Source organism: Homo sapiens, chromosome 16, assembly GCF_000001405.40.
Source record: "Homo sapiens chromosome 16, GRCh38.p14 Primary Assembly".
Classification (NCBI taxonomy): Eukaryota; Metazoa; Chordata; class Mammalia; order Primates; family Hominidae; genus Homo; species Homo sapiens.
The window spans coordinates 64,613,073-64,620,236 of NC_000016.10; the positions used below are offsets into that span (position 1 = coordinate 64,613,073).

The window sequence follows — 7,164 nt, forward strand, 5'->3', positions numbered from 1 at the left end:
GTTAATTTTCTGTCTCATTGATCTGTCTAATACTGACAAGGGAGTGTTAAAGTCTCCCACTATTATTGTGTGGGAATCTAAGTCTCTTTGTAGTTTTCTAAGAACTTGTTTTATGAATCTGGGTGCTCCCTTATTGGATATATAGTCAGAATAGTTAGCTCTTCTTGTTGAATTGTTCCCTTTACCATTACATTATGTAGTGCCCTTCTTTGTTTTTGTTCGTTTGTTTGTTTTTTATCTTTGTTAGTTTAAAGTCCGTTTTGTCAGAGACCGGGATTGCAACTCCTGTTTATTTTTTGTTTGTTTGTTTGTTTGTTTTGTTTTGTTTTGCTTTCCATTTGCTTGGTAAATTTTCCTCCATCCCTTTAGTTTGAGCCTGTGTGTGTCTTTGTGTGTAAGATGGGTCTCCTGAATATGGCATACCAATTGTTCTTGACTCTTCATCCAATTTGCCAATCTGTGTCTTTTAATTGGGACATTTAGCCCATTTACTTTTAAGGTTAGTATTGTTATGTGTGAATTTGATCCTGCCATCCTGACACTACTTGGTTATTTTGCACATTAGTTGATGCAGTTTCTTCATAGTCTTTACATTTTGGTGTGTTTTTGCAGTGGCTAGTACCAGTTTTTCCTTTTCATATTTAGTGCTTCTTTCAGGAGCTCTTGCAGGGCAGGGCTGGTGGTAACAAAATCCCTCAGCATTTGTTATCTGGAAAAAATTTTGTTTCTCCTTCGCTTATGAAGCTTAGTTTGGCTGGATATGAAATTCCAGGTTGAAAATTCTTTTCATTAAGAATGTTGAATATTGGCCCCCAGTCTTTACTGGCTTATAGAGTTTCTGCTGAGACATCAGCTATTAGTCTAATAGGGTTCCTTTGTAAGTGACCTGGGCTTTCTCTCCGGCTGCCCTTAACAGTTTTTCCTTCATTTTGACCTTGGAGAATCTGATGATTATGTGTCTTGGGGTTGATCTTCTCATGGAGTATCTTTTTTTTTTTTTTGAGACGGAGTCTTGCTCTGTCACCCAGGCTGGAGTGCAGTGGCATGGTCTTGGCTCACTGCAAACTCCACCTCCCGGGTTCACACCATTCTCCTGCCTCAGCCTCCCGAGTAGCTGGGACTACAGGCGCGCACCACCAAGCCCGCCTAATTTTTTGTGTTTTTAGTAGAGACAGGGTTTCACCGTGTTAGCCAGGATGGTCTCGATCTCCTGATCTCATGATCCGCCCGCCTCAGCCTCCCAGAGTGCTCATGGAGTTTCTTAACGGTGTTTTCTGTATTTCCTGAATTTGCATGTTGGTGTGTTTCCTAGGTTGGGGAAGTTCTCCTGGATAATATTCTAAAGTGTGTTTTCCAGCTTGTTTCAGTTCTCCCTGTCTCCTTCTGGTATTCCCATCAATCATAGGTTCGGTCTTTTTATAAAGTCCCATATTTCTTGGAGGCTTTGTTCATTCCTTTTCATTCTTTTTTCTCTATTCTTGTCTACGTGTCTTATTTCAGTAAGGTGGTCTTCAAACTCTGATATCCTTTCTTGCGCTTGGTCGATTTGGCTGTTGATACTCGTGTATGCTTCACGAAGTTCTTGTGCCGTGTTATTCAGCTCCTTCAGGTCATTTATGTTTCTCTCTAAACTAGTTATTCTAGTTAGCAATCCCTGTAACCTTTTATCAAGGTTCTTAGCTTCTTTGCATTGGGTTAGAACATGCACCTTTAGCTCAGGGTTGTTTTTTATTATCCATCTTCTGAAGCCTACTTCTGCCAATTTGTCCATCTGATCCTCCGTCCACTTGCATGCCCTAGATGGAGAGATATTGCAATCATTTAAAGGAGAAGAGGCACTCTGGCCTTTTGGGTTTTCCACATTTTTTGTTTATTCTTTCTCATCTTCATGAGTTCGTCTAGTTTTGGTCTTTGAGGCTGCTGACACTTGCATCGGGTTTTTGTGGGGGACTTTTTTGTTGTTGTTGATATTCTTGTCACTTTCTGCTTGTTTGTTTGTTTCTTTCAATAGTAAGCTCCCTCTTCTGTAGAGCTGCTGCAGTTTGCTGGGGGTTCATTTCAGGCCCTATTCATCTGATTTGCTCCCGTGCCTGGAAATATCACTCAAGGAGGCTAGAAAATAGCAAAAATGGGTGCCTGCTCCTTCTTCTGGAGCCTCTGTCCTCAAGAGGCACCAAACTGATGCCAGTAGGATCACTCCTATATAGGGTGTCTGACAACCCCTGTTGGAGAGTCTCACCCAGTTGGGTGGCACAGGGAGCACTTCGTCCCTTGGTGGACAAAGGAAGCACTTTGTCCCTTGGTGGAGATAGTGTGCTTCACTAAGGGGAAACCCACTTGTCTGGGCTCCCTGGATTTCTCAGAACTTCCAGGAGGAGAGGGTAAGTCTGCTGGCCCACAGAGACTGTGGCCACCCCTCCCCCTAGGGTCTCAGGCCCAGGGAGATCCGAATTCTGTACCTGAGCCTCTGGCTAGAGTTACTGGAGATCCTGCAGGGAAGGCCCGCCGAGTGAGGAAGGATGGGTCAGGTTTAGGCCTGAAAAGGCACTCTGGCAGCAGTCTGCCACAGCCAGTATGATGGGCTGTGGGGACAAGCCTTGGGACTAAGCTGTCCAGCCTCCTTGGCTCCAGCAAGGGAAAAGCATAGCCTGGAGCTATCGAAATGAGTTGCCACCCTTCCCCCACCCAGGGAGTTTAGCATGTTGGCAGTTGCCAGTGGCAGTGCTGGCTGCTGCCCCTCCCCCAAGAAGCTCAAACAGCTTAGACAGCAGGCAGCCACAGCTGGTGCTGCTTGCCTCTCCCCGCAGGAGTTTGGCAGGCTTAAGCAGATTGCAGCTGAGAGGCTGTAAGAATCTGTATGTTCCAGGGTTGGGGTGCTAGGCCCCAGTAGCTTGGGTTCATGAGTAGGATCTTCCAATCCATGGGTTGCATAGTTCCTTGGAAAAAGCAGTGTCCCCAGCTGGGTAGCACGCTCACTCACTGCCTCCCTGGCTGGAGAGGGGAGGTTTCCCTTCCCCGTGTGGCTGTCAGGTGGGCTGTGGCACCACACTGTTCTTCCTTCTCTCCGGGAGTCAGGCCAGCCTTCTAGTCAATTTTAATGAGAGAACCTGGATACCTTGATTGTCGGTGAAGGATTCACATGCTTATTATGTGGTTGTTTGTTTGTTTGTTTGTTTTTTCTTCAATAGGAGCCTCAGAATACAGCTGCTTCTAGTCAGCCACCTTGGCCCTGCCCCCCAGATATCTCCTTTTTATGGAGGTTGAAGGTAGGATCCAGCTGGGGAAAAAGTGGTTCATGTCTATGTTGCTAGCTCAAGACAAAGCCCACTTCAGAAAATGTGCTCCAATTAGTACTCCTTTTTCACATATTCCATAAGAATGAATGATTATGGTTGATTATGGTGGTATCCTCATTATCTGAATGTAATCAGATTGATGTTTTCAGAATACTTTATTCAACTTAACTCTGTTAAGGGGTAAACCAGTTTATGGATGGTTAAATGTACAGAGATAAAGAATCGTGCCCACTTCATCTATGGAACAAATATTTGAGTACTATCTTAGAACAGGCATTGTTCTAAGTGCTTAGGATACATCATTGAAAAAAACACAATAATTCCTGTCCTTGAGGTGCTTGCATTCTAACAAAGGAAAACAGCAAGTATAGACATAAACACAAAAATAAGAAAGCTATATATTAGGACATGATAAACACTGTATGGAAAAATAGAAAGGTAATGCAGGCTTTGGTCATGATGTAAGTGAAGGTAGAGATTGTCAGCCATTTTTAATAGGCTTTTAAAATATTACCTCATGAAGAAGGTGACATTTTAATTTGGGGCAATACTTGAAGGAGGTAAAATGTTTGAAAAATGATGAGGATATCTAGTGGACAGGAGTAATCCATGCAGTGTTTCTGAGGAGCAGCCAAAGCATTAGTGGCTGGGGCAAAGTGGGTGTGAGATTAAGGCTAGAAGATGAGACCAGAGGGTAACAAAGGGGCCAAATTATGTAAGGTCTGGTAGAATTTGGCTTTTCTTGTGAATGAAATGAGAAGTTGTTGTAAGATTCTGAACAAAGGGACAACATGATTTTATTTAAATATTCAAATAATCATCCAGTTTTCTATTTTGAGAAAAGATTCAGGGATAGGATGGGACAAGAATAGAAGCAGAGGAGGCTGGGTGTTGGCTAGTTGCGCAAACCCATGCAGCTCATCCTGGTGCTTGGAACTATGATGGTGACAGTAAGAGTGGGGTAAATTATTTGGGTCTAGTTACTTTTTGAAGCCAGAGTCAACAAGATTTCCTACTGAGTAGTCTGTGGGACATGAGAGAAGAATGGTGAATCAAGAAGAAATCCAATTTTATTGGCCTTAGTATCTAAAAGGAACTTCCAACAGCTGAGTTGAGAAATACTGCAGGTAAAGCAACTTTGAAGAGGAAAATCAGAAGTTGTCTTTGGGGCATATTATAATTTAAAAAAATATTAAATAATTGGATGGAAAACTCAACCCATTTATCATTTATTTCAACATAAAAAGACGGAATACATTGATTGTTCTCATTTTGGCTCTCCTAAGCATTCCCCCAAGCAATACAGGAAGTGAACTTAATAGAATCAGTGATATTTATTGCTTTTTTAACATAAATCTTCACATGTTCTATTTGAAATGAGTAGTGTGGTCCCTTGCAATTACTTTTTTATTCCAACCTGTTCAAATATTTGAGTGGAAAATGGTCTTATCGGGTCATCGTGGAGCCTTTGCTATTGCTGAGCTAATAACACTTTTTTTGAAAACTCCATTTAAATGGTGCAGATGAAAACCTATGCCTCCTCTCTATGTCACTCCCAAACACATTGGGAGATGAACCACAGGGGAAGCCCATATGTTAGAAAGGCATGCTTCATTTAGCTATTGCAACACGCTGGCTGAAGGGTGCTATAGATGGAGTTGCTTAGAAAAGATTACATCTCTTGGCTTCTGGCAAAGGAAAAAAAGTGTTTAAAAAGGCTGTACTGAGGGCTAAGAGCTTTATTGAAATTCTACAGGAGGCTTACAGAAATGGTGAGCTTCTGACCTGTTATCAGGTACCAGCATTTGGACATCTTGACACTCTATAATTGAAATTCATTGCTTGACCTTTAGTCTATAAAAATGGTATGCTGTCATTAGCACTGACTGCTTGCTGTATTCTCCTGTCACTCCTTAGACCAGCTTAAACCATCTCAGATGAAATAGCCTATTTCATGTCAGACCTCAGAGTTTGCCACTATTAAAGTGGAAAGCTAAAGCAATGTTTAGCAATGTGGTAAAGACTAATGCAATAGAATTGCTAGAGAAGTAGGAGTCTTTCTTTTTTAAATTCCCTTTAAAAATTAATGCTCTCTGGTATGGTACCATCTCTATTACACTACTCCTGTCAGAGTGAGAACCATTACTTTTTTTAATTGCATTTTAATTTAACCTGTGAATGCCACACTGTCTACCTTACATTTGACAAAGTATTCGAATGTTAGTTCACCAAGAAGACAAGTTAATGTAAGAATTACAAGGTAATATTTCACACTCATGATGTGAAGAATTGAGGCAATTATATGGATATTTTAGCCAAAAAAAAAAATCCATGCTGCCATAATTTTTTGAAAATTTTAGGTAACAGAGAAATTGATGGGTTTGGGTGATTTAACCCACACTTTATTCTGAGAATTACTTTATTTATCACTTGATGTCATCAGTTCCAATCCGATGGTCAGAGAGATGTTAGTTGTTCTGAGTATCCATGTTATAAGAGTAGTCACCTCGTTAACTAAAGAAATGGGATGACCTGGCTGTTGACAACTACAACTCTTGAACTGTCTCAAATCACATAGAGCTAAAGAGGATTCATCTTCTTGGTGACTTAAGAAACTGAATTGTAAAAACATGGAAAATCATTCTACTTCTTTCCGATGTATGGTCTCAATTTTCCTTTATGCAAAAACAGACTTCAAAAACATTATTGTGAAATGATTGTGGAAAAATCAAAGCACGGTGTTTAGAGTGACGGAAATATTTCTCTCAAGTCAATACCGTATTCTGTTCTAGGTCATTCATAAACTTAACCCGTGCATAACTGCTGAGAATTAGCTTTCCTCTCTCTCCTCCAAGTTTAAAAGAGCTTTTTATCTCTTATTTTCTTAAATACGTCAAACAGCATTGGATTAATACTGGAATACCAATATCTATGCCTTGGCTTATTTTAAAGAATGCTATTTATTTTTTCATTTTAATTTGTTTTTATTGCAATAACTTTTGGGATATATGTGGGTTTTGGTTACGTGGATAAATTGTATTGTGGAGAAGTCTGGGATTTGGGTGTGTCTGTCACCTGAATGGTATGTATGGTACCTAATAGGTAGTTTTTAAGCCTCACCCTTCTGCCACTCTCCCCGCTTCTAAGTCTTCAATGTCCATTATACCACTCTGTATGCCTCTGCATACCCATAGCTTAGCTCCCATTCATAGGTGAGGCCATGCAGTATTTGGTTTACCATTCCTGAGGCCATGTAGTATTTGGTTTATCATTCGTTAATTTCTTCACTTAGGATAATGCCTCAGTCCCATCCATGTTGCTACAGAAGAAATCATTTCATTCTTTTTATGGTGGAGTAGTATTCCATGGTCTATATATACCACATTTTCTTTATCCACTCTTCACTTGATAGGCACTTAGGTTGATTTCATATCTTTCCAATTATGAATTGTGCTGCAATTCAAATATGGGTGCAGGTGTCATTTTCATATAATGACTTATTTCCTTTTGGGTAAATGCCCATTGCTGGGATTGCTAGATCGAATGATAGATCTACTTTTAGCTCTTTGAGAAATCTCCATACCATTTTCCGTAGAGGTTATATTAATTTACACTCCCACAAGTAGTGTATAAGTGTTCCCTTTTCACCACATCCATGTCAACATATGCTGTTTTTGACTTTTTAATAATGTCCATTCTGATTGAAGTAAAGTGGTATCTCATTGTGCTTTTAATTTGCATTTCATTAATTAGTGATGTTGAGCGTTTTTCATGTTGGCCATTTGTATATTTTCTTTTGAGAAATGTTTATTCATCTTATTTGCCCCTTTTATTGGGATTATTTGTTTATTTCTTACTGATTTGTTTG

General features: G+C 40.3%; 2 annotated features.

Moving 5' to 3' along the window:
* Positions 2,220–2,721: an enhancer, noted in NCBI's record as "NANOG-H3K4me1 hESC enhancer chr16:64649195-64649696 (GRCh37/hg19 assembly coordinates)". NCBI's record gives its function as "activates a minimal SCP1, AML or CMV promoter by ChIP-STARR-seq in primed H9 embryonic stem cells {active_cell/tissue: H9 hESC(primed)}" and the evidence as "EXISTENCE:reporter gene assay evidence [ECO:0000049][PMID:30033119]".
* Positions 2,722–3,221: an enhancer, noted in NCBI's record as "NANOG-H3K4me1 hESC enhancer chr16:64649697-64650196 (GRCh37/hg19 assembly coordinates)". NCBI's record gives its function as "activates a minimal SCP1, AML or CMV promoter by ChIP-STARR-seq in naive H9 embryonic stem cells {active_cell/tissue: H9 hESC(naive)}" and the evidence as "EXISTENCE:reporter gene assay evidence [ECO:0000049][PMID:30033119]".